We start from the raw sequence: 27733 nt of genomic DNA, 5'->3' as shown, positions 1-27733 counted from the left end.
GGACTCATCCATAGAGGTGACATCTTAATCACCAGACGCGTGGGTCTGAGGAAGCGGAGCTTGCAGCCTCATCACGTTATGACAACTCATGGAGAACATGATGTGACCCTGGACTGTGGTTTTAAAATGGTGTTTTCATGTCTTCTGGGGAACGGCTACCTCCTTACAATCTATTTTTTTCCCCCCAGGCTGGAGTGCAATGGTATGATCTCGGCTCACTGCAACCTGCGCCTCCTGGGTTCAAGCGATTCTCCTGCCTCAGCCTCCCGAGTAGCTGGGATTACAGGCACCCGCCTGGCTAATTTTTTTGTACTTTTAATAGAGACGGGGTTTCACTATGTTGGCCAGGCTAGTCTCGAACGCCTGACCTCAGGTGATCCACCTGCCTCAGCCTCCCAAAGTGCTACGATTACAGGCGTGAGCCACCACACCTGGCCCACAAATCTTTATTTTAGAGATGACTCTACTTAAAAGGGCAAAAAATGTTTGGGGAAGGAAGATTATATCCTTGTTCTCAGACATCACTCTGGAAAAGGAACAGAAAGTGCTCCCAGCAGGTCAGCATCAATACAATTCTATATTTAATACTGTGGTTTGCTTTTGTGAATTCCTTTTTAGCTGGTCATTAAGAGCATAATTGCTGATTGGAATCGGTGCACAGGGAGAGATTTACTTGCCGTCTGCTTTTGAATCTTAATTGTAAGGCAGATGGAATGAGTTTGTGTACTGACCTGGGAATGGGCCGGGAGACATCTTCTCAATGGAGTCAAAAACAAACAAACCCAACCCATATGCAGTCAGGCTCAGAACCTGAACAACATGGAAGGCTGCAGGGCAGAAAAACTGGACCAACTCCCCTGGGGCTGAACTCTGGCTCCAGCAACCAAGGCAATTGGAAGTCTGCATTGGTCACCAGAAAGGACAAAGACTGAACAGGCTCCTCAAATAGATTCGACAAACTTGTACTGAGCCCCTTGTAAGCATCCCAGCCTGGATGCGCCACCACCCATCAACCACATAAGCCTGGAAAAGTTCCTTACTCTCCCTGAGGCTCAGTTTCCTTAGTTGTAGAATGAAAATAATAATGCCTACCTAATAGAATTCCTGTGAGATTTGATGAACTAAACTGGTACGTGGTAATTGTTCAGTGTGAATAATAATACTCACAGGTAATATTTAAGTGTTTACTATGTGGCAAGAGTTGTATATGGGATAAATCGTTTAATACTAACAATCTTATAAATAAGCACTATTATTCTTATTTTTAAAAAGAAAGCCGAAAAAGTGGCTCATGCCTGCAATCCCAGCACTTTGGGAGACTGATAGGAGGATCACTTGAGGCCGGGAGTTCAAGACCAGCCTGGGCAACATAGTGAGACCCCCCCACCAATCTCTATAAAAAAAAAAAAAATTAGCCGAGTATGATGGCATACACCTGTAGTCTCAGCTACTTGAAAGGATGAGGCAGAAGAATTGCTTGAGTTTAAGAGTTCAAGGCTGCAGTGAGCTAGGATCCCATCATCAGACTTAAGCTTGGGTGACAGAGCAAGACCATATCTCTAAAAAAAAAAAAAAGAGAGAGAGAGAAGAAAAAAATAGAAGGAAGGAAGGAAAAGAAAAAAGAAAAGAAAATGATGTAAAATTGAGGCTTAAAGAAGTTAAGTAAATTTCTTTGGTCTCAGAGCCAGTAAGTATAGGCTAGAACCGGGTTTTCAGCTCAGGTAATTTGATTCCAAAGTTTTAACTCTTAATTACTATGAAATTATGGTTCATAGCAGAAGCAGGATCATCCAGCTTCGTTAATAACAAAACCCCAATCTTGGCCCTCAAACAGCTTGCACACTAATGGGGGCATAAGACATGTAAACAAACACACAAGTGACTAAACAATATGCTAAGTACTAGAAAAGAGTCATGAACAAAATGCTGCGAATATACAGAGTGGAGAAGAGCTTACCTGCCTGGTGGAGTTAGGCATCACAATAGAGGTAACATTTAAGCTGAGGAACTCACCAGGCAGAGAAGAAAGGATGAGAACGTTACAGCAAGAACAAAGTCATAAAATCACGGAGGGTCAGGTTTTTGTCAGGGCCATGATGAGAAGCCCTGTGTGCCCTTGACTCCAGAGAGCATTAGAGGGTTCATGAAGGATCTTATGTGTGCTGTGATGGTTAATATTGGGTCTCAACTTGATTGGATTGAAGGATGCAAAGTATTTTTCCTGGGTGTGTATGTGAGGGTGTTGCCAAAGGAGATTAACATAAGAATCAGTGGACTGGGAGAGGCAGACCCACCCTTAATCTGGGTTGGCACCATCTAATCAGCAGCCAGTGGGGCTAGAATAAAGCAGGAAGAAGAAAGAGGAAAGAGCAGACTTGCTGAGTCTTCCAGCCTTCATCTTTCTCCCGTGCTGGATGCTTCCTGCCCTCGAACATCAGACTCCAAGTTCTTCAGCTTTTGGACTCTTGGACTTACACCAGTGGTTTGCCGGGGACTCTTGAGCCTTTGGCCACAGACTGAAGGCTGCACTGTCAGCTTCCCTACTTTTGAGGTTTTGAGACTCAGACTGATCCACCACTGGTTTCCTTGCTCCTCAGCTTGCAGATGGCCTATTGTGGGACTTTACCTTGTGATCCTGTCAGTCAATTCTCCTTAATAAACTCCCTTTCATATATACATATATCCTATTAGTTCTGTCCCTCTAGAGAATCCTAATACATGTGGCAAGTGATGGGTGTATCTTGCAGAAACTAACGGGCTATGGCAGATTAAGCAGGACAATACACTTATCAAATGAGTGTTTTTTAGGAAAACTCCTCTAGCAGCAGTTTGGTATAGTGGAGACAGTCATTGAAAAGGTGAAAAAGACTAAAAATTAGATTCAAAGCTGGTGAGTGACGGATACTTTGGGACTATGGAGTCAGCAAACTGTAGCTTATACACCAGGCAGGATGGGCTCTCTGGCCCAAGAATGAAGCACATGTCCCCAGCATGGGAAATTCTGTCTGCCTAGAGGTCAGATACAATGATGGAGGAGGCCTTCAGATGATAAATGAAAGAAGGAAAGAATGCCAAAATCAAACCTTTTACCTGATGAAAACAAACATGCATTCAGACATTCTGCAGATTGTTTTTTTTTGTTTTTTTTTTGAGATGAAGTTTCACTCTTGTTGCCCAGGCTGGAGTGCAATGGCACCATCTCGGCTCACTGCAAGCTCCACCTCCCAGGTCCAAGCGATTCTTCTCTCAGCCTCCCGAATAGCTGGGATTACAGGCATGCGCCACCAAGCCCGGCTAATTTTTGTATGTTTTAATAGAGATGGGGTTTCACCATGTTGGTCAGGCTGGTCTCAAACTCCCGACCTCAGGTGATCCACCCACCTTGACCTCCCAAAGTGCTGGGATTACAGGCATGAGCCACCGTGCCCGGCCCATTCTGTAGATTCTTGTTAAGCAGTTAGTGAAACTGTAGGCACTAGGTGGAGGTATAGAACAAATTGTCATAGCTTCTGCCCTCAAGGAGCACACCATCAGTGTGTATAAAGAACATTGAGAGCCTGAGGTTCTGAGGGGCCACTTGGGAAAGCAGAGATGCCCAGTGGGATAACACACTCCAAGAGCATCACACAGCGACTTGATGAAACAGGATTCAATAAACGACAGCCAGGACATCAGAAAGTATTCCTTTCCCTTCAAAATGAAAAGGATACAGACTCTACAGACCAAAACCTGGTGAGCAAGTCACAATGGAGAATAGCACTTCTTATAACAATATTATAAGAAGATAAAATGGCTTTGCACCATATGAGGAACACAGGATTTGGAGTTTTGCCAACCTAGGTTACACCTCAGACTCTTTCACTGACTCTCAGACTGACCTTGGATTGGTTACTTCATCTTTCACCTGCCTCCATAATCTCTTGGCTTGGGAGATGTGGACAATAATACCTCCCACCTGGGTTTGTGGTGAGGGATACGTGAGGAGACATTGTAAAATCTCCATTAGAGGGACTGGAATGCAGCAGGTGAATGTTGGCATCTTTGAGGCCACCCAATAAATCTGCTTTTCCTCCCTGCCCAGATTTCTAAACAAGGAGGGAAATAAAACACAAGAATAGAAATAGAGGTCAAATATTAACTTTATTGCTGACTATCTGGTTATCTATTGCTATATGACAAACCACTATAAACTTGAGTGGCTTTTAAAAATATATATTTATTTTGCCCATAAAGCTGCCATTTGTACGGGCCCAGATGGTGGCTGGGGACAGGTTAGTGCTGCTCTACTCTGCATCATTTACAGCAGCTCAAAGTTTGAGAGCTAGAATCATCTGTTCACATACCTGGCAGTTGATGCTGTTGTCAGCTGGGACCTATGGCCAGGACACTGATACCTGTTGTCTCCATATGCTGGCTGGGGTCAAAAGCAAGCAGCCTCAGAGGACAAAGTAGAAGGCATATTGTCTTTTATGACTTAGCCTTGGAAGTCACGTGGCATCGTTTCTGCTATTTTCATAGTCCTACCCAGATTTAATGGAAAGGAACACAGACTTCCCACCTCTTGTTGGAGGAGTCTCAAGATCACATTTTAGGGGCACATGTGGGATGAGATATAGATGGGTGTAGCTATATTGGGAAAATGCCATCTGTCCCACTGATGGAAGCTAACCAGTCAGGCTAAGTTACAGAGGAGAGTTTAATGACGTGACTATTTCCAAGGGTGTGGGAAAGGTTTAGGAAAAGCAACCAGACCCAGTTACATTAGAAGCTGTTACTATGCCTGGGAGGGAAAGGACCAGGGGAGGGAGTGGTTACCTGATAGAGCCACAGACTCCAGTTAAGAGACTCAGCCGACCAACGGTGACAGGCAGAGAGAGAGAGAGCTGAGGGAATAAATACCCTGACCTTACTCTCCTCCTGCCTTTTAATCTCCTTCCAGAATTCCCCAGTCTGAAACCAGAGGGCAAAGTAGTCTGTTGATGCAGGATGTAGTTTGGAATGCAACAAGAATAGAAAAGGGTAGGAAATGAACCTGAAGGGGCAAACAAAAGTCATCTGGCACAAAACCCACGTTGGGAGATCTGGGTTCAGGCGGGATTGTTACATGGATCAATTATCTTCTAACCTCCCAATCCAGAACTAGGACCAGCACATCAGCAGGATGTTTGCGTCTGAGGAGCAGAGGCATTTACCCAGGCATTTGTCTTCTATTGATCATGTGGAGGAGGAAGGAGAGAGAGATCAAATTAGTCCCCGTTGCTACATTCATCTAAGCAGAAATGTGGTCCCCAACCGGATCATTCACTCCATCACTCTGGAGGTAGGAGGTGTAAAAGGTCTGGAGGTGCTGTTGAAAGTCCCCATCAAGAAAATAGTGGTAGAAAAAGGACTCCCCTGAGCAGGGTTCAGTCACCTCTTGCTTTTGTCTACCTGCCCCCTGCCTTTCATGGAAAAGGAAACAGTGACACCAAGGCCCTGTGAGAGGAGTACAGAGACAGATTTTTTTCTGTATTAAGCCAGCAGCATAATCTATCCATTTCAGATACAGCAAACGACCAATTTAAAACAAAAGACTTTTCATTAGATTTCCGCATTTCCCATGTACACAAATAACCAAAAGGGGCCAAGCAACGCCTGGGCATCTCAGTCTTACTCATTCCACAACCTGACATTCTTTGGGGCAACTTTTCAAATAAATAGCAAGGATGAACAAGAGGCAAATGCTTTGTGCAAACACCAGTAATTCTCATTTTAAGCTCTTACGTATTGACATGTTCAGGCTATAATCTCTCTCTCTCTCTACCTGTCCTTCTTTGGGGGAAGGCGAAGAGGTTAAGAGAGCAATTTCAATAACAGAGAGCTGATGAGGAAGAAGGGTGGCATTGGAGATACCAGCATGATGGTGGCCTCCTCTGGAACCCACCCCAGACCTCCCAGGCATGGTCGACTTCCTCCTGCTGTGCTCTCCCCACACGATGACCTCCACAACTTAAACACAGCTTTTCTCTGTGCATGTGTTCACCCTTCCACCCTTCTTAAGGGTAGAGGCAGCTCCTTATTGGTAGAGGTAATGTCCTCCTCACTTCTACATAGCTCAGTATACAGCTCATTCAGTGTGAGGCATTTAACAATATGGAGTGGGGTCAAGTGGAGTGAACATACCAGCTATGGAAAAAGCTATTTTTTGTACATATCTTCCATAGGAGATATTGTAACACTCTTCCCTTTCCCCACTTGTAATGCTCAAAGAAATGATACATGTAAAATTGCTGTACAAACTGTAGTTCCTGTAATGCACCACACTAGTCTAAGTGCTGAGAGGAACAGCAGTCAACTCTCAGAAAGACGGCACAATATTAAGAGAAACACTGCCTCACTTCAATCCTAGCTCCACCTATTACTAGCTGTGTGATTTTGATCAAGTCACTTACCCTCTCTGTGCCTTGGTTTTATCATTTGTAAAATTGGAAGTACTGTATACTGTGCTCTATCTCATACAGTAGCTTGAGAATTAAATTAGAATCAAATATATATCTTGGAACAGTGCCTGGCATTACCAAGCACTATATTAACATTAGCTACTACAGATAAGCATTCTTATTTTCATTATTGTTAATAACCTGTACCTGGCTACCATCACAATCTCCTACAGTACTGCAAGTGAAATAAATCTTAGATGTCCTGCATTCCAACCTCCTGCCACTGCACCCTTGATGAGTAAGTGGCCGGACACAGAAGGAATTAACCTTTCTCAAGTACCTATTATATGCTAAGACACATGCTAGGTGCTTTCTATACATCCTTACACTTTTGGCTCAATGAAGTGGATATTACTATTCTTCTATTTTACGGATGTGGGAAGCAAAGTGTAAAGGGAAACTTGCCCCCAGCCACAAAGCTAAGAAATGGTGGAGTTTGGATTCCAACTGAGACCTCCATAGCCTCAAATCTTAATGAACATTTTGTTAGCTGCCATCTTGCTTGGTGCTCGACTGGTTGCATGCAAGCTAGCCTTCTCTCTCCACCCAGACTTGCACATCTGCCACTCACTCCTGCTCATTCCTGTCTACCGACTCTCATTTAATAAGTCTAAAAATACTTTAACTGTTTCATATCTTCGTAATTTTCTGAACACCACTACACGTCAGCCACTAGCATGTGTGCAGTGAGTACAAAAATGAATAATACTTAATCCCTGCCCACCAAGTCTAAGGAACTCTGTGTTTCTCATGCTAGGTAACTATTAGGATGTTTCACTGATTGAGATAGAGGAAGAGATTGAGAACCACAGCAAATGCCTTAGACTGAGTTCCCCTTGGAAAGCAAACCCTGAGTCAAGGACTTGTGTGCAGGCAGTTTGTTTTGGAAAGTGATCCCGGGAGCAGAATGGGAGGCTGTAGATAATGAAACACAGAACAAGGGCATGATGTGTGATATCAAGTTGGTTGCCACAGCGGACAACTGGGGCACAATTCCCCTGGGACCTTCAGAGGAGAACTGGAGAATGCATCTCAGAATTGTCCACCAACATTTGTTCACCAGCTCATATCCCCTAGGGTTCAAAAGTCTGCCATGCCATGGGGGTACTAATTGCCTTGCACTTCCAGGTAGCACATGTTTGAATGCCAGGCACATTTGCCACAAGCATCCTACAATCCCATGCCACAAATCTAGAGATGCCCCAGGGCAGAAAACATGGTACGGTGCATTCACTGGGCAGTCAGTGCAGGAATGGGGACCAGCAACATCAGTGTCACCTGAGAACTTGTGAGAAATGCAAATTCTCATGCCTCACCCAAGACCTACTGAGTCAGACACCCTAGGGCTCAGCAGTCTGTCTTTTTGTTTTGCTTTGTTTTTGTTTTTGTTTTGAGTCTCACTCTGTGGCCCAGGCTGGAGCGTAGTGGCGTGATCTCGGCTCACTGCAACCTCCACCTCCTAGGTTCAAGTGATTCTCCTGCCTCAGCCTCCCAAGCAGGTGGGACTATAGGTGCCCACCACCAAGCCTGGATAATGTTTTTGTATTTTTAGTAGAGACGGGGTTTCACTGCATTAGCCAGGATGGTCTCCATCTCCTGACCTCATGATCTGCCTGCCTCGGCCTCCCAAAGTGATTGGATTACAGGCGTGAGCCACCGTGCCAGGCCAGCAGTCTGTTTTAACAAGCCCTCCAGGTGATTCTCATACATACTCAAATTTGAGAACCCTAGCCTATGTATTGTGGAAGAGGACACATAGGTGGCTGATATGGTTAACTACTCTTTATCCAGAATTCCAGCAACAGAAAGCTCAAATAACTTTAAGTTAAAAGGTAATCTCAGGGTTGCCTTCAACTCTTCCCTTTTTCTCAATTCCCATGTTCAACACAGCCCCTCCCATTCCTAAATCTATTGTCTGTTTCTACTTTCACACAACAGAGACTTCATGGCCCACACACCTAAAATATTTACTATGTAGCCATTTAAGAACTTTGCCAACCCCTAAAATAAGAGTCCAGAAATTGATGTGCACAAATACGGTCATCTGGTTTTTGACAAAATGTGAGTAGATTTATGCGGATTTCTTCAATTCCAGTTTCAAGGACAATGCAAATAATAGTCTTTTCAACAAATGGAACTGGAACAATTAAGTATCCATATGTAAGAAAATAAACATTGAACTATATCTTTTACCTTATAAAAGGTTAACTCAGAGTAGATTATATACATAAATATATATATATGAAAAACATAATCATATAAAGCCCCAAAGAAACACTGTAGCAAACCATCTTGGACTTTGGTTAGGCAAAACATTTTTAGACACGATAGCAAAAGCATGATCCATAAAATAATAAATTGAAAAATTATACTACATTAAAACTAAAAATTTTTGATCCATTGAAGGCAGTGTTAAGAAATGAAATAATAAGCTGGAGACCAGGAGAAAATATTTGCAAATCACGTATCATACAAAAAAATGTATTTAGAATATATTAAAAAACTCTTAAAAACTCACCAAGAGGAAAAAACCCAATTTATGAAAATGAGCAAAAGATTTGAACAAACACTTTGTCAAAGAAGATATTTAGATGGCAAATAAGCACATGAAAAAATGCTTAACAGCATTGGTCATTAGCAAAATGCAAATTAAAATCATGAGACACACCTACACATTTTGTAGTTTACTTTTGTAAGACCATGAGATTATCCCTACTTATTAACCTGTCGCCCAGGTTTTGAAGATTTTTCACATTCATTTGTTTATACTAGTTTAAGAGACAAAGTCAATGTCCACGAGAACGGCTAACATAAAACATTTTTTAAAAATTTGACACTACTAAGTGCTGGTGGGGATGTGAGACAATTGGATATTTTGTGCATCGCTCATAGGAATGAAAAATAATATAACCACTCAGGAAAACATTTTGGCAATTTCTTATAAAGTTCTAAACATATACCACCTCACCAAGAAATCACGCTCTTAATATTTACCCTAGGGAAATGAAAATATGTTCAGCCAAAAACCTGTACATGCATATTTATCACAGCTTCCTTCAAAATTGCCCAAAACTGGAGACAACAAAAATGTCCTTCACAAAAGAATGAATGAACAAACTGTGGTCCATCCACACAACAGAACACCAACCAGAACTTAAAAAAAAAAAAAAAACAGTTGCAGTCACAATATTAGATGAATCTCAAGGCGTTATACTAAGTGAAATAAGCCAATCTGAAAAGGTTCCACATTATAAGATTCCATTTATACAACTTTCTGGAAAAAAACAACTTAAAGTGGTAATCAAAAACAAGGGGTCAGGGAAGGGTGGGACTGTGAAGGAACACCATAAGAGAGAATGTTGAGATGATGAGGCAGTTCTGTGTCACAATTGTGAAGGTGGCTATACAAATCTATATATGTGTTAAAACTCATCAACTGAACAGCAAAATAAAATGAGTTTTACTGTATACATATTAATATTTAAAACCAGGAAAAAAAAGAGTAGAAAGCCTAGGAGAAATACTTAATGTAGATGATGGGTTGATGGGTACAGCAAACCACCATGCCACATGTATACCTATGTAACAAACCTCACATTCTGCACATGTATCCCAGAACTTAAAGTATAATTAAAAAAAAAAAATGAAGACCCAAAGATATGGAAGAAATTGTCCATTTTTATGCTTAGCTTCAATAACGAATGAATAGCCCTGTAGAAATATGACTGGACAAAAAGGCTATGATCTAATGCAGTAGACTGGGTTGGGGAACCCAGAAAGGCCTGTCTGTCTAGATTCTCCTTGGCTTTGCTGACCATGCATTGCATCTTTCTGGCTATAGGGCAGGGCCTTCCCTGGAATGGGGGTCTTATGTCCTACAATCAAACAAGTAGATCAGATAATTTATGAATAGTTTTTGCATAGAAAGGAGGAGGAAAAATTAGAGTAATAATTTTCTATTATATGGCTGGCTTTGGAGAAAAGGGGTTCTGGTTTCTATGACCTGCCTTGGGAAAGAGAGATTCTACTTTCTATGACTAGCCTCAGGGGAAAATGAGATTGAGAACTGGAGAACAGGAGAAGGTCAGAGAAGAATTTTGCTTCTCATGCCTTCATTTTGGGGGTGCCTTCATTTCTGAGCCCCAACATCCCAATCTTACAGATGAGGAGACTGAGGCATAGAAAGGTCATAAAATTCACCCAAGGTCACCAGAGGTAGTAGATGGCAGGGTTGGGCATTGAACCCAAAGGGTTTGACTCCAGAGTCTGTTCTTAATCATGTACTAGATTTCAGTGCCAAACATATATCATAAAATTGCAATTCTGAAGTTTATTCTTTAAAAAACCTTAACTTTATTCTCATTTCATAAGGGTAATATCCAAAGACAGCACAAATCACTATTTTTAACCTTCGGATTTAAAATAAAAGTCTTCATCATGTTTCTTAGTGATTTGGTTGTTCTGTGAGATAAGCAAGTAGATCCTTACTTCCATTGGCTGTATGCAATATCTCAATAAATGAAGTCAAATTGAAAAAAGAAAGAGTAGAATGTAGGCTCTGGGATCTCTTTGCCTATATTTTGTTCCCCGGTAACATTAACTGGCCGTGTGATCTTGAGCAAGTCACTCAAACCCCTCTTTGCCTCGCTTCCCCAATTTGTAAAATAGGGATAATATTTTCAACCTCATAGAGTTTTTGTGAGGATTCATTGAGAAAATCCACATAAAGCACCCAGACAGAGCTTGGCATTTAAAATAAATGTAATAATAATAAATGTTTACTGTCATTATTTAATCCAGCTGCTACATTGAATGGATTTGATTTTGTTGTCCAAAAACTTACCTCTTCAGTGAGTTTCCAAGATAATTTTCACTTAATTCTGAATATCCTATTTCTCATAGCAACTTTTTCATCTGAACCAGATTCAGAAGGATTTTATATATTTTGTAGTTTACCCTTGTAAGACCATGAGATTATCCCTACATATTAACCTGTCACCCAGGTTTTGAAGATTTTTCAGATTCATTTGTTTAAAATAGTTTAAAAGACAAAGTCAATGCCCAAAATTGGAGTCCAGAAATGGAGTGGTTTCATCTGTTCCAACACTGCACAGTTTGAATTCTTTCCATCTAGTCTTGAATGCCATCACTTTGATGGAGTGAATTGTAATTCTTGACACACAACAACCAATGCCTCACATGCTATTCCTTAACCATGGAATTTACTCAGTTATTCTTTTCTTTCCTGTCCTGTGGTTCTTGAAATAATTCCTCTTTTATATTGCTATTATCCCTCTGTCCACGGCCTCCCACCACACCTATCACTCTCAAGTAACAAGATCATGGCCTTTGATATGCCATCAAAGTCTTCAAAAGACCCAGCATCTTCATTGCCCTTCACAAATCATCATTAGCTTTCTTGAGCACATTTTTTCACAGGAGATAATTGTCATGACATGTCCTCAATTCCTTTCTAATGAAAATAGAGCGTAACCCAAGGCTTTTCCAAATCTGAACAAAAGAATTTCATCCCAGTCACACATAACACAGTCATAGCCAGCTGTCAGTTCAATGGCTTAACAAATGCAGATTGAACATCATTTGTGTCATGCATGATAGGTACAAACATGGCTAAGACACAGCCCCAGTGGAGCCACAGGGATTCTCATCTACTGGTAAGAGTGTAAATTGGAACAAAACTTGAGAAAACAGCTTGCCACTATTATTGATGCTGAAGATGTATGCTTTGACCCAGCAACTCCACTGGGTCAGTATTTATTCCAGGGAAATCCAGCTCATGCACTCCCAGAGAAATGTATAAAAATGTCACAGAAGCATTGTTCATAACAGCCCCAAACTAGAAACAACCCAAATGCCCATCAACATGTGAATGCATAAATCCATTGTTATATATTTTTTTCAGTGGAATACAAAGGTGATTATCAATTAATGGCAGCTGCAGACAACACTGGTGAATCTCATGAACAATGATGAAAAGAGGCCAGACACAAAAGATTACATAAAGTATGATTTAATTTATATAAAGTTCAAAAAGATATAACTAAATCACACTATGGTATGGTACAGGCAGTAAATAAAAGGTAAGTCAGGAAATAGTTACCATAAAATCAGAAGATAATGGTTACTTCTAGCAGAAAGGGAGTGAGTTGTCATGGAGGCTTCAGGACTACCATTCATATTTTCTTTCTTAACCTGCGGGGTTGCTTCGCAGTTATCAATTTATACTCATGCAACAATATATTTACACTGTGTGTACTTTTCTTATATGTATTATATATAATAATTAAAATGTTTTTAAAGAGGTAAATTTGTAAGAAAAAAAAGATGAAAACAACACACTCCCCCTTTACTTCAACTGAACGCAGAATTCATGGAGCACCTAAAGATTCTGAAAAGTAAATCACAGCAGGTGGATTGGAGAAGATGGGAATTTATGCCACCAAACCAAGGTGAGTCTACCATTGCTTTTCCTCCAGTATCCCCCCACCTGAATGCAATACAGGTTGAAATTGAGAAGTGAGCATGTGTGTGAACAGACTGAGCTCCAAAAGAGACCTTCTAGTTCCGGCTCCAAGCACAGGAAACAGAACTGCTCACACTCAGAGGGAGTGTGGAGATCTCCATTTCTTCCTTCTCTCTGTTTGCTCATACCCAGTCCACAAACCATCCTGTAATGTTGGTAACAGAGGCCTCTACAGAAGGTCACAGGAGCCAACATTCTGAGGGAGGGGACCTATGACTCAAGAGATGAGGCAAACACTGATTGCTTTTAAAAAATTAGAATCCTTCTAGAGTTACAGAAAAGTTGTAGTTTCTAAATATTCCACATCCAGTGTCCCTACTATTAAGAGTCTTACATTAGTCTCCTTTCCTTTGTCTTCCTGCAGCTCAACCCTGGATACAGGCACAGCTAAGTGCATGACAGAGTAAGGTAACTAAAGCCCCAAACTTTCCAGCTAGAGGAAGAAAAAGAGAGTCTGAGGCAAATGTAAAGTGCCAGAGACATAAAACAGAGGAGCTCAAGGAAGTGACTGCATAAAGTGGTTCATGAATTTCTGTACTCTTATCCAAGCCGTGCCTGCGTGGATTTCATCCTAATCAGCATACTTAATGAACTCAGAACTGAACTAACATACCACACGCCAGGTTCTTAGACTGACCACTGGGTGGTACAGACATCTGGTGTATTTAAGTATCACTACCAAAGTTTGAAAACTGAACTGATATTGGAACCACAGTCCACAGAAGAGGGTTTGAAACTTGCTACCTGAAGCTAACCAGATTGATTTCCTGCTGGAAAAAAAAAATTTCTATAGGAGTTAAATAAGGCCCAAAGTTGCATAATATCCTGTTCAAAATGTTCAGATCCAGTCCAAAATTATTCAGCATACCAAGAACCAGAAAATGCTTAACTCCCATGGGGAAAACAATCAACAGATGTCAATGCCCAGATGTCACAGATGTTGGAATTACCTGACAAAGACGTTAATGTAGTCATTACACAAACGTTCTAACAATTGTAAAAAAGTTTGAAATTAATTTAAAAAAGAAAGCCTTATTAAGAAATAGAAGATATATTAAAAAATCACATAGAAATTGAAAAATATAATAATCGAATTTTTTAAGAAAAACTCACTGGACGGACTCCACTGCAGATTGGAGATGACAGAGGGAGTATTCAGTGAATGTGAAGGCACATCAGTAGAAATTATCCAATACAAAAAACAGAGAGAGAAAAAGATTGAAAAAAAAATAACAAACAGACCCTCAGATACATGTGGCACTATAGCAAAACAGAATGTATAATATTCATATCATCAGAGTCCAAACAGGAGAAGAGAAAGCATGATGGTAACAAAATACTTGAAAAAATAAAGGCTTAAAATTTCCCCAAGTGTGGCAAAAGCTAAACCTACCGATTGAAGATGCTCACTAAATCCTAAACAGGATCCATGCAAAGAAATCCACATACAAAGATATATCACACTCAAACTGCTGAAACTGGGCTGGGCACAGTGACTCACACCTATAATCCCAGCACTTTGGGAGGCCAAGGCGGGCAGATCACGAGGTCAGGATTTCAAGAACAGCCTCACCAACATGGTGAAAACCTGTCTCTACTAAAAATACAAAAATTACCTGGATGTGGTGGCATGCGCCTGTAATCCTAGTTACTCAGGAGGCTGAGGCAGGAGAATCGCTTGAACCTGGGAAGTGGAGGTTGCAGTTAGCTGAGATCACACCACTGCACTCCAGCCTGGGCAACAGAGCAAGACTCTATCTCAAAAAAAAAAAAAAAAAACAAAACCACAAACAAACAAGAACTGCTGAAACTGGAGGCAAAGATAAAGATATTGAAAGAAGCCAGAGAAAAACAACATGTTACCTAAAGGGAAACAATAATTCAGATGACTACGTTTCTTATCAGAAATCATGGAGACCAGAACTATAATAGCACTATTAATGTTGGTACTATAATATTTAGTATTATAATATTAGTACTATAATATTACTACTTATGTAATACTACTAATAGTAGTAGTATGTGGTACTACTAATACAGTAGTAACATATATTTCTGTAGCATTAGTTCTCTAATATTTTTGAAATGCTGAAAGAGAAGAATTACCAATCTAGAATTCTATAGCTTGTGATCTATATAAAAAATGAAGTGAAAATAAAGGCATTCCCAGATGAAGACAAACCAAATTCCTTTATAACACTTCTTGAAAGCAACCTGCTTTAAAGGAATTGTTAATTGGGTTTTTTTACTTTTATTTTAGGTTCAGGAGTACATGTGAAGGTTTGTTATTTAGGTAAACTTGTGTCATGGAGGTTTGTAGTACAGATTATTTGTTAAAGGAAATTTGTCAGACAGAAGGGACATGAACCCAGAGTATCTTGGAATATTAAGAATGAAGATGGTAACTTGGTAAGGTGATGGATATGTTAATTAGCTTGATTTAAGCTTTCTACAATGTATAAATATATCAAAACTTCTCACCATAGCCTATAAATACAATTATTGTATTTATAAATATAATATTTATAAATATTTAATAAATACATAAATAATAAATAAATAAATACAATATTTATAAATACAATTATTGACAAAGAATACAATTATTCTTTGTCAATTAAAAAGGATGGAGGAAGGGCAAAATAAATAGGAAATATCAGGGTAATATAATAGACAATTCTCTCCTTTTGCATTTTAAAAAATACATTTCACAGTTGAAAGTAAAACTATATGATTTTTCTGACGAAAATTTTAATAAACTTAGATGTAATATATGAGATAAAATAAAGGTGGGAGGGTAAAGGGACCTATATGATGATAAGGTTCCTATGGTCTGCTTGGAGTGAGGAAACTTGATTATAAGTACATTGTGATAGGTTAAGTATGTATATTGTTATCCTTTTTTGAACATTAACATTGCTATAAAAAGTGATATAGTCAAAATCTACACATATAAATTAAAATAGAATATTTCAAAGTGTTCGAATAACCCAAAAGAGGGCAGGAAAGGGGAAATAGAGGAATAAAAACAAAGGAAAAAAAATAAAAAATAAAATGACACATCTAAACCAAAACATATCAATTATTACATTCAATGTAAATGGTCTAAATACACTAAATAAAACACAAGGATTTTCAGGATTTATAAAAACACATGACCCAAGTATATGCTGTATATAAGAAACTCACTTTTTATATAATGATATAGGTAGGTTAAAAGTAAAAAAAAAAAAAAACTAAAAATGACATATCATGCAAACATTAATAAAAAGAAAACTGGCGTGGCTATACTAAATGGACTTCAGAGCAAAGAAAATTATCAGGAGTAAACAGGGGCAAAACCTGATGTAAGGGTCAATTCAACACAAAAAATAATAATCCGAAATGTATATGTAAGCCAAAAAGTTTCAAAATACATGAAGTACAACTGACAGAATTGGAGATAGAAATAGACAAATGTACAATTGTTTGATATTTTAAAACTTCTCTTTGATATTTTAAAACTTCTAGTGATAGAGCTAATAGACAACAACTCAGCAAGAATGTCAACTGAACAACAATGTTAACAACTGGATGTAATTGACATTTATAGAGCATTCCACCCAACAACAGTAGAATAAGCATTCTATCCAGGTGCACATGGAATATTCACCAAGATAGACTACTTTCTAAGCCATAAGACAAACCTTAACAAATTAAAAAGAATTGAAATCATATGGGTTATGTTCTTTGACTATAATGGAATTAAACAATAACAGAAAGTCTGGAAAATTCCAACTCACCTGCATATTATCAGTACACTTCTTAATAATCAGTAGATCAAAGAGAAAGTGTCAAGAAAAATAGTAAAATAATTTGAACTGAATAAAAATATACTATACCAAATCTGTGAGCTGCAGTTAAAGCATTGCTTAGAGAAAAATTATAGTATTAAATATTAACATTAGAAAAGAAGAAAAGACTCAGATGAATAATTTTCACCTTAAAACCTAAAAAAAAAAAGAAAAGCAAAATGAACCCAAGGTAAGCAAAAGAGAAAAAACAAAGGGCAGACTCAATAAAATTGAAAAAAAAAATCAGTGAAACCAAAAACTGTTTCTGAAAGATTAAAAAACTGATAAGCCTCTAGTGAGACTGATTTTAAGAAAACAAGCCACTGTAATCCAAGCACTTTGGGAGGCTGAGGCGGGCGGATCACGAGGTCAGGAGATCAAGACCATCCTGGCTAACATGGTGAAACCCCGTGTCTACTAAAAATACAAAAAATTAGCCAGGCATGGTGGTGGGCACCTGTAGTCCCAGCTACTCGGGAGGCTGAGGCAGGAGAATGGCATGAACCCGGGAGGTGGAGCTTGCAGTGAGCCGAGATTGTGCCACTGCACTCCAGCCTGGGCGACAGAGCGAGACTCTGTCTCAAAAAAAAGAAAACAAGCCACAAATTATCAATATCAGAAATAAAAAACAGAATATCATTGCAGACCCTACAGACATTGAAAGGATTAAAAGGGATTATTATGAACAATTCTACTAAACAACTCACATAAATCTGACTAATCGTCAAAAATGGACCAATTCCTTGGAAAACCACAGACTACTATAACTCACTCAAGAGGAAATAACCCAAATAGAATTATAACTATTAAAGACATTGAATTCAGAGTTTAAAAAACCTTCCAAAAAAGAAATCTCTATGCCCAGATAGTTTCACTTGCAAATTCTCCCAAGCATTTAAGGGATAAATAATACCAATTCTACACAGTCTCTTATGGAAAATATAAGCAAAGGGAACACTTTTCTGACTCATTTTATGAGACCAGGATTACCCTGATACCAGGAAGAGTTCAGGGCTGGCAATACAGAATTGACAGTCAGCAGTGTAGTTAATAGCAAGGTAATGTAAAATGCATGCAATTAGCTGGGATTGCCCAAGAAGCCCATGTCTAGTGAAAGTAACTGAAGGCTATAAGAGAACACTGGGAAACTACCAGGGGCTGTGGCTGGCAACTGGAAGGAGGTAAATGAAAGAGACCCAGAAGTGGTCACAGTTGAGGCCAAAATAAGCAACAGCTTCAAGAAAAAACAAGAGGTCAGTACCATTAAATGAAGCAGCATGATTCAAGACAATAAGAAACATATCTGCAATTGTTACCCAGTTAGGCCTGTAGGCTTCCAAGCCTGTCATTGGGCTCAAATCTTTGCTTCACTATCTAACTCAGTTAACCTTGTTGTGCCTCAATTCCTTCCTCTATAAAATGAGACTGATAACATTCCCTAGTTCAAAGGTTGCTATGAAAGAGAAATGAGCTAATGGGAGCAAAGGTACTTGGCATAGTTGTCAGGAACAGCAAAAGTGCTCAATGACTATTAGCTGCAAATGTTACCGTGACCTTCCCAACAACTTTTCTGGCAAGCATCAGACCTAACAAGTGAAGGCAAAATGAAGTCAGCAACCAACCCCTCACCTCATGTGTTCTCAATGAGACCAGCAGGGGCCGGTCTCATTGAAAACATATCACTCTTGCCCTTGGAGTGAACTCTTCCAAATATAATAAAAAGGCAGTATGGTATTTAATATTTGTACAGGAATGGTAACCTACCTCTCCAAATATAATGGTCCTAGCCCTTGATTCTGCCACCAACGATCTGTGTGAACCTGGGCAACTCCATTGACTTTCTGAGCCTAGAGTCCTTCATGGATACTTACACTTATCCTTCCCATCTCATATAGTAGCTGTGAGGGATTCATCAGCAAGTAGTGCAGCCTCTTCCCCTCACTGGATATTCCTGAGAATCACAACGATGTGGTTGTGTCTGAAGTTGCCAGCCTGAGTCTGACCTGGGAGATTTTGAAGATCAGCAGGCCAGTTATAGATGACTAATGCAGTGACTGCGTTACTCCATGGAATTTCAAATCCCCCTGTAACATGCCTTCCAAGAGGTCAAGAGGCCATTTAGTCTCTCTGCTTCCATGCTATTCAGCAAGACTAAAACCCAAAAACCCGCTCCACATTGAAACAACTCTCATCCTCCAAAAGTCCTCCTTTAAGAAATGGAAGAAGAATCACCAACACCAGAGTCAGAAGACCTAGGTGCCAGGCCAAGTCTTAAAAACTAACGATTTGTGGGATCTTGGACAAGACATTATCTCTCCATGGAACTCTGTTTTCTCATCTGTAAAATAAGTGTATTGTCCTGCCTTCTTACAAGTTCAGTTCTGGCTATTGGATTCTTCATCCTAAGATGAAAGGAAGAGAGAAGTCCTCCTGAACTTTAATAAGAGACTCTTGTTGGATGAACCATCTAAAAATGAAACAGCTACAATGTTAACCATCAGTTTTTCAGGGTCTCTGGGAGCCACATAGGGAGCTAAATAAAAGCAAGGAAGTTTCCACTTAAAATACTTCATTGATTTTTAACAAGGAATTTTCCTCTCCCTTTCTCTCTCTCTCCCTCTCTCTCTTTCTCTCTGGTTAGCTTTTAACGTTCATGGAAGCATAGGTTTTAAACGTACCATGGCACAAATGCAAGATGACAGTGATGCAAAATGGTACAAGAGGAACTTATTTTCATAACTGCCTCTCATTCAGGGGCACAGAATGAATCAACACAGCATCATTGCCCAATTATTTCTCCTCCTGAAACTCATTAAGGCTTTCTCAATTCATAATCAATACATTAAAGTCTCTCTGTTTTATAAAACAGTTCATCAATATTTTATGGCTTTAATAATTTATGTTTTATTACAGAAGCAGATGGAAGCCTACAGCACACTTAATCTCTAGAGACAACAGGGAAGAAAGAAAACTTGAGTTGCAGATTCCAGACTTAAATAACCAGCTTTGCTGGGTCCCTGCCTCCAGTGTGAAGCTTTGTGGGGAGGGCTGGTAGCTGGGGGATAGCCCACCTGACCATAAACTTCATGAAGGGAGGGACAAGTTCCAATTATTTTTTGACCCTCTACCTAGTGTCAAATACAGGCTAAGTACTCAACAGGCATTATGTCGTTTAATCTCTCCAAGAGCCATACAAAAACAATAGTATCGTCCCCACAGCACAGATGAAGAAACTGAGACTCAGAGTTAGCAAGTATCTTAGCCAAGTCTACACGGCCAGGATATGGTAGAGCTGGGATTCAGGTTAGGTCATCTCCAGCATCCATGCAGTTAACATCTCTGCTATAACTATGATCAACATCCCCTCTTTTGGAACTATGTATTTATTGAGCACCAACTTTTGTAAGCACTGGGGACGCACAGATGAACTACATGGGCAGGGAGCTCTGACCTCATGGAGCTAACATATGAGTGGGGTTAGACCATAAGCAAGTAATGGTTTTTAAAAATTAAGAGAACTCAGAACTTCCACCAGATCTCATCCAATTCCCCCCTTGCAACAAGGCTCCTGCAGCCCATTTCACTACTCAAGCCATTGCATTCCTTGGCCATCTCAGTTGAGCTCATGTGGCCAAGAGCAAAGACCTGGACCGGAAAGAGGAGAGAAGACTTTCTACCGGACTAGGTTTCAAATAAGTATCCCATCAGGTACATGTTTTGATGAACACTTTCTCCTGGGATTATGTTTCCCAATGCACTCATGAGGGTTCTCCTGAGTGTTTATGTTTTCCCAGAGGCTGTTATTCCCAGGGGAGCTGTGGTTTGCCGCAGACCCAGGACAGCAGCTTCTTTCATAAACGCACAAAGAAACTTCAGTCTGGTGGGAGCATTTTGCTTCAGTTACCAATGTGAAGGCGAATGTACAAAGGCTCATTTCCCTATAGTTTCATAGTCTGCTTATGAATCTGTCTCCCACGTTAATTTCTTAAAACTGAGGCTTATGTTTCAGCCAGTGTTAGACCTCATTCCCTAACACAGTGCTTGACACACAGTAGGTGCTTCATAAATGTTGCATGAATGAATCATTGTTTGAGTTCAAAGTCAGGACTGCCCTTTACTTCATGTGCAAACTTGGGCAAGTTACCCAACCGCTGCGCATCAGCTTCTTCATATGTAAATTGGAGCATAGATAGTGCCTACCTCATAAAGCTCTCATGAGGAATAAATAAATTAATAGGTGGGAAACTCTGAGAAGAATGCATGACACGTGGTGTATACAAAATAAATGATAGTTTCCTCATTTTTACAGGTACATAGTCAAAGGCTGTTTTCATGATGAACATAATTTTTCTATGCATATTTTCCCAGTGGGTATTTGTTCCATTCAGGATATGTTTCTATAGGTATTTTTCATACTAAGTTTTTTTTTTTTTCTGGTAGACGTTTTCCTCTGCGCATCTTTTTTTTCTTTTTTCTTTTTTTTTTTTTTGAGACAAAGTCTCGCTCTGTTGCCCAGGCTGCAGTGCAGTGGCGCGATCTTGGCTCACTGCAACCTTTGCCTCCCGGGTTCACACCATTCTCCTGCCTCAGCCTGCTGAGTAGCTGGGACTACAGGCGCCCGCCACCATGCCTGGCTAATTTTGTTGTATTTTTAGTAGAAACGAGGATTCACCATGTTAGCCAGGATGGTCTCGATCTGACCTCACGATCCGCCCACCTCATGCATCTTTTTTGAGTCGTCATTTCTCCTAGTAAAATTTTTCCTGAAAGGCATTTTTCCTAGAAAGAATATTTCTCCAGTATGTCATCACCCTCCCTCGCTTTTTTGGCAATGATTTTTCCAATGGATACTTTTCCTATTAAATATTTTCACAGTGAACATTTTCATAACGAAAATTCTCCCTAGAGAATATTTTTTTCTTGGGAGGGGGGATTTTTAATAAAAATAATTTCCGATGTATATGTTTTCCAGTGTTTTTTTGCTGGAAAGTATATGTTTCCATGGGATATTTTTTCCAGAATGAAATTTGTCTTCAGTAGCTGTTTTTTTTTCCCCCGAATAGACATTTGTCCTACAAGTTATATGTATTTTCCCCAAGAAATACCATCCATGTTATTAGATTGAATTGTGTATCCTCCTCAGAATTGATGTTTTTCACATTGGACTTCTAACTCCAATGTGACTGTATTTGGAAATAAGGTCTTTAGGAGGTAGTTAGGGTTAAATTAGGTCGTAAGAGTGAGGCTCTGATTCAGTAGGACTGGTGTCCTTATAAGAAAAGAGAAAGAGACACCAGGAATGCCTGCACAGAGAGGAAAGGCCATGTGAGGACACAGTGAGAAGGTGACCATCTGCAAGGCATGGGAAAAGGCCTCAGGAGAAACCCACGCTGCCACGCCTTGAACTTGGACTCCCAGCCTCCAGAACTTGGACAAAATTAATTTCTGTTGCTTAAGCCTCCCAGTCTAGTATTGTGTTATGGCAGCCTGAGCCATCTAATACAACTTCCTGATGTCATATTTTGCAGTCTGGAGCTGAATCAGTGATAACCTCTCTTTTTTAGGCCGCTTTCTGCTGGTCACCCAAAGGCATGCCCTGCTCACCCCACATGGAACACTAAAGGGCTAACTCCACAGAAGCAGAAAGTCTATATTGACCTATGGCTCCTTTTTGTGCTGATGAAAAACTATGCTGTCCTTAATCCAATGTATTTTCCAGCTTGCAGCTCTCCATTACACAAGCCCTGCAAAACCAGCTCAATAATAAGTGTCCTGTTTCCATTAATGCAACCCTGGGGTTGTGCCAAAAAGGATGGCAGAATCGTGGAGATCTCCGGAGTGCAGAGAGGTGGCTTGGGTCCCTTTGCCTGGGTAATCATATTAGGGGAAGGGGTCACACCCGAGGGTTCTCCCCTCCAGGTCCCTTTCAACCAGAGTATGGCTCCCGAGACACGGGTGCATGTTTAGATCCTGTCCACTAGAGGGCTTCCAATGGTGACGGTCATAGCAGCGGAGAAGAGGCACCTTACACATTCAAACAGCAGACTCTGGATAAACTTAATGATTCTAGGTGAGCTTACTGAGAAATGCCAGTCAAAACAGCCTGGAAAAGCCAGAGCCCAAGACTGGATGGTAGAGACCACATTTGAAAGAGCTACTTGATCTTTAGCCTCCAGCATCACATTCTCCAGCTCTTACCTCCACCCAAACCCACCCCTAACACATTGTCTGATGGATTCCATTCCTTCTACACAACTAAACACTAAAAGTCCTTTTATTCTCTTCTTATCTCCATTAAATTTGTTCTCAACAACAAAAATAATCAAAAATTAATTCATACTGAAATTCAAACAACTGATAACAACAAATAATGTTACTCTCTTTCTCCCTCCTCCATTTCCTTTTTTTTTTCTCACACATTTGTTTGAAAGAATCAAAGGCTTATATTAAAGAAATAAATATCTACAGTGTGGGATTTCCAGGATTAGCTAATTGGGGGAGGGATGATTAGCAGGTGGCGAGACATCAGCTGTATGCCTCTCTCTCCCCATCCTGCATCTAGGAAATTAGAGGAGTAAACTTGTATTGTGTGGCATTGAAGTGGTACCCAGTACAGATTCTTCAGTACTGAAGAAGGCATGAAATACTCTTCCCAGTACCCAAGTCAGCACAAGGCATTTAATAGAGTGAAAACTCTGTGAAATCAGATTCGCCATGTGTAGTAGAAGGAATAACACCGCCCTCCCATACCCGACCAGAAGTCCACGTTCTGATCCCCAGAACCTGTAAATATGCTACCTTACATCACAGAGATGAGATGACTCTGGGTGATCCAGGTAGGCCCAACACAATCACAAGGGTCCTTGTAAGAGGAAGACAGGAGGGTCAGAGTCAGACAGAATTGCAAGGCCATGCTGCTGGTTTTGAGGCTGGATTAGGAGCCAAGAAATTCAGGTGGCTTCCAGAAGCTGGAAAGGGCAAGGGACTGGATTGTCCTCCAGAGTGTCCAGAAGGAACACAGTCCTGCTAATACCTTGACTTTAGCTCAGCAAAACCCATTTCAGACTTCTGACCCCCAGAATTGAAAGAGAATCCATTTGTACTATTTAAGCCACTAAATTCACGGCAACTTATTACAGCGGCAATAGGAAATTAACATGCCATGGTCCAAGCCACTGTCATGTGGATGCAGAATTTTTCAATCAGCCCAGAGCTGACCCTTAGATATCCCAGTACAGTGAAGAGTTGATCTTTCAAGATCCAGCTCAGATGCCACCTGCATCATCAGCCTTCTCTGCTGCAATGGGAGGAAGTTAACTCCCCCTCCTCCTGGCCAAAGAAAAGAGGACCAACATGCATGGAGCATAACAACACACTGTAGCAGCATCTTCAGAAATCCTCATTCCATCCCACCACTGCCTGAAGGATATCGCTGTCCTTCAGGTGTGCAGGTATTGCACAGGTGTGGAAATAAGCTCAGAGAGATTACGCAGGTCCAGAAGGCACAGTTAGGGAATGACGCCGTTGGAAGTCCACCCATTCTCTCCTGTTCCTCACCTCCGGCTGTCTCCAGAGCACCCTAGCCACCCTGTGGCATCTGTCACTTCCACCTCACCTCTAAGAACAGTCATGCATCCCTTAACAATGGGGATACACTCTGAGAAATGCATCATTAGGAGATTTCATCATTGTGCGAGCTTCATAAAGCACACTTCCATAAACCCTAAGTGGTCTGGCCTACTACACATCAAAGCTATATGTTGTAGCCTATTGCTGCTAGGCTACAAACCTGCAGAGCATGTGACTGCTCTGAATGCTGTAGGCAGTTGTAAGACGATGGTAAGTATTTGTGTATCTAGCTATATCTGAACATAGAAAGGGGATAGTAAAAACACACTATTATGATCTTATGGGATCAAGATACACAGCCTGTCATTGATGAAATATTATTATGCTGTGCATACCTGTATTTGTATCTATTTCTTGCCTTGAAATGGTAGGTCCTTGAGGGTTCATGCTTGCTTCAACTTGACTCTCCCCAACCCTGGCATCTAGCAGATGCTCACCAGATATCTGTGAAAAGAAAGGGGGTGATAAGCAGAAGGAGTGGGGAAGAAGGAAAGGATAGATGGAGACAGACAGGAAGGAAGGAGAGAGGGAGGGAGGGAGGGGGAAAGGGAAAAGGGAAGAAAGGACAGAATCAAAAGAAGCTTTGGGCATATCCCCTCTTGTCCGTTGTGGCATTTCTCTGGCCTGGCACCATCACTTAGTGCTTGGTACCCACTAATTCTGGTGGGTATGGCCAGTGCTCACCAATATCCATGTGCTCTTCAGGGACACACAGCTAGACTATATTTTCCTTTTGTGGCCACGACACTGAGTTCTGCCAGCAGCATGTGAGCAGAAATGATATGTGCCACTTCTCTTTTTTTTTTTTTTTTTTTTGTGACACGGAGTGTTGCTCTTGTCTACCAGGCTAGAGTGCAATGGTGTGATCTTGGCTCACTGCAACCTCTGCCTCCCGGGTTCAAGCGATTCTCCTGCCTCAGCCTCCTGAGTAGCTGGGATTACAGGCACCTGCCACCATGCCTGGCTAATTTTTTTGTATTTTTAGTAGAGACAGGGTTTCACTATGTTGGCCAGGCTGGTCTTGAACTCCTGACCTCAGGTGATCCACCCACCCCGGCCTCCCAAAGTGCTGGAATTACAGGCATGAGTCACCATGCTTGGCCGATACATGCCACTTCTATGTCTGACCCACACAAACCTCTCATGATCCTTACACTTTTTCTCCAGCTAAACTGAGATGTCTCTGAGGACTTGCAGATGGGAGGAGCCAGGAGGTATAGTAGAAGGAGCCTGGGTTCCTGAGGGACTCTGTGGAACAGAGCCCCTGCCTAGACACACTGGTCTGTGATGAGAGCAAGAAATAACACTTTATTTCAGGAAGCCACCAAAATCTGGAGGGGGTTCACCACAGCAATTTACTGGCCCTCTCTGAGCCTCAATTTTAGGATTAGTAAATGAAGTGATCACGTGATACCTAGGATGCCTTGTCAGTAAAAATTCTGCAGGTCTCTGACTTTCTCCAGAATTTAATCCCAGGTCTCAGGCAATAAAGAAAAACCAAGTGCATTCATCCACCAAGCGGGCTCTTAGTGTTACGTATGTTACTCTCTGAACAGATCCATTTCTTTTAATAATAGAACAGCAGATCCATCCATAACTGGCTCATTTTCGAAACAGGGTTTCGATTGACTGGGCCTCAGAGCATTTGAGTTCCGTAACATAAAATCAGTCAGCAATTGACTGAATTTAACTAATTTCCACTTGTGAGATGGCTCCTGATTTAAGTGCCCTTTCTTATCATTTTCCCCATCACCCAGCCTCTTGCCAGCTGTATACCTACATGAATATTCTACATCTTCCAACACAGCGGGCTCTCCAGGGGACCGTCCACCTGGAAGGAACAAACGCACACGTCTTGATTTCCTCTGTATGGGAAGTTTGGGGCATACCCAGAGGGAACGGCAACTCTTTCCCCAGGCTAAACTTATTCATCCACAGTAATGAAATCTTTCTGAGTTCCCAGGATATTGACTACAAGGGAGACCCACCAGAGCAGGAAAGAGAATAAAGGTGGGTTTTGCTTGTTTGATGATGATTGATCTTCCTAATGATCTCCCTGTTTCCCTGCTTGCTCTCTACAGTTTACTCTCAACACATCAGCCAGGGTGCTGCTGTCAAAACACAAGTCAGAACATGTTGTGCCTCTGCTCATAGAAGTCCAAAGAATTCTCTTACTCCAAGTAAAACTAAAGTCCTGGCCAGGCGCGGTGGCTCACGCCTGTAATCCCAGCACTTTGGAAGGCTGAGGCGGGCGGATCATGAGGCCAGGGGTTCAAGACCAGCCTGACCAATATGGTGAAACCCCATCTCTAGTAGAAATACAAAAACTAGCCAGGCGTGGTGGCGCGTGCCTGTAGTCCCAACTACTCTGGAGACTGAGGGAGGAGAAATGCTTGAACCCAGGAGGCAAAAGTTGCAGTGAGCCAAGATCGCGCCATTGCACTCCAGCCTGGGCGACAGAACGAAATTCCATCTAAAAAAAAAACAAACAGAAACAAACAAACAAATAAAAAACCTAAAGTCCTTGCAAAGGCACCCAAAGCCATACATTTTCTTGTCCGACCATATTTCCTTCTCGTCTCCCACTGCTCCCTCCATCCCTGCCACAGGTACCTCCTAGTTATGGTGGATCTGACTCCCACCTCAGGGCCTTTGCATTTGTTCTTTCTTCTTCCTGGAATGCTTTTCTCAAGATTATCTTCACATCCTCCCACACTTCCTTCAACCCTTTGTTCTAGTAGCAAGGTCTTCCCTAAAATCCTTATTTAGGGAATAAGGATTCTCCATCAATGACATTGCCGGTTCCCCTTTCCTGATTTTATTTTTCTCTCTTGTCTTGGTCACCTTATTATTTATGCTCCAGCAGACCTATAACCAATTCTATTGCATTGTCTGCCCACTCCCTCCTGAATGTAAGCCCCCTGAGTAAGTGCTACTGTTCTTTGCTGCCATTCTCCCGGCACCTAGCAGATGGGCTGACACACGGTGAGTGCTCGGTAAATATTTGTTGAATTGAATTGAAATTTTGTCCTGTCCTTGTATTTAGCAAATGATATTCTAGGCTCCTTGTAATTAACATACTGTATTATGTGCCTTGGACAGGTGTTAATTTTTGTTATTTTTATTGGGTTGGTGCAAAAGTAATTGTGGTTTTGCCATCGATTTTAAAGGCAAAATCTACTATTACTTTTGCACCAACCTCATATGGTAATTCCTCTGTAATTCCAGTTGTGTCACTGTCACTCAAG

General features: G+C 40.9%; 1 long non-coding RNA gene across 22 annotated transcripts in view; it reads right to left on the bottom strand.

The window, feature by feature from the left end:
- LINC01643 (long intergenic non-protein coding RNA 1643) overlaps nucleotides 1-27733 on the bottom strand; it is a 201365-nt gene that overhangs the window by 84542 nt on the left and 89090 nt on the right. For 9 of the 22 annotated variants that reach the window (NR_183600.1, NR_183601.1, NR_183585.1 and 6 more), the window contains 2 exons: nucleotides 26266-26316; nucleotides 24821-24929 (listed from right to left, as the gene is read on the bottom strand). The exons of 5 other annotated variants lie outside the window; for them this stretch is intronic. This is a non-coding gene — a long non-coding RNA (long intergenic non-protein coding RNA 1643). The remainder of the gene's footprint in view (nucleotides 1-24820; nucleotides 24930-26265; nucleotides 26317-27733) is intronic. 8 more of the 22 variants (NR_183602.1, NR_183598.1, NR_183597.1 and 5 more) reach the window with 1 other exon arrangement.

This window comes from Homo sapiens, chromosome 22 (assembly GCF_000001405.40).
Source record: "Homo sapiens chromosome 22, GRCh38.p14 Primary Assembly".
NCBI classification, from domain to species: domain Eukaryota; kingdom Metazoa; phylum Chordata; class Mammalia; order Primates; family Hominidae; genus Homo; species Homo sapiens.
The sequence above is the reverse complement of the archived record's forward strand: the minus strand, read 5'-3'. Positions and strand labels throughout refer to the sequence as shown.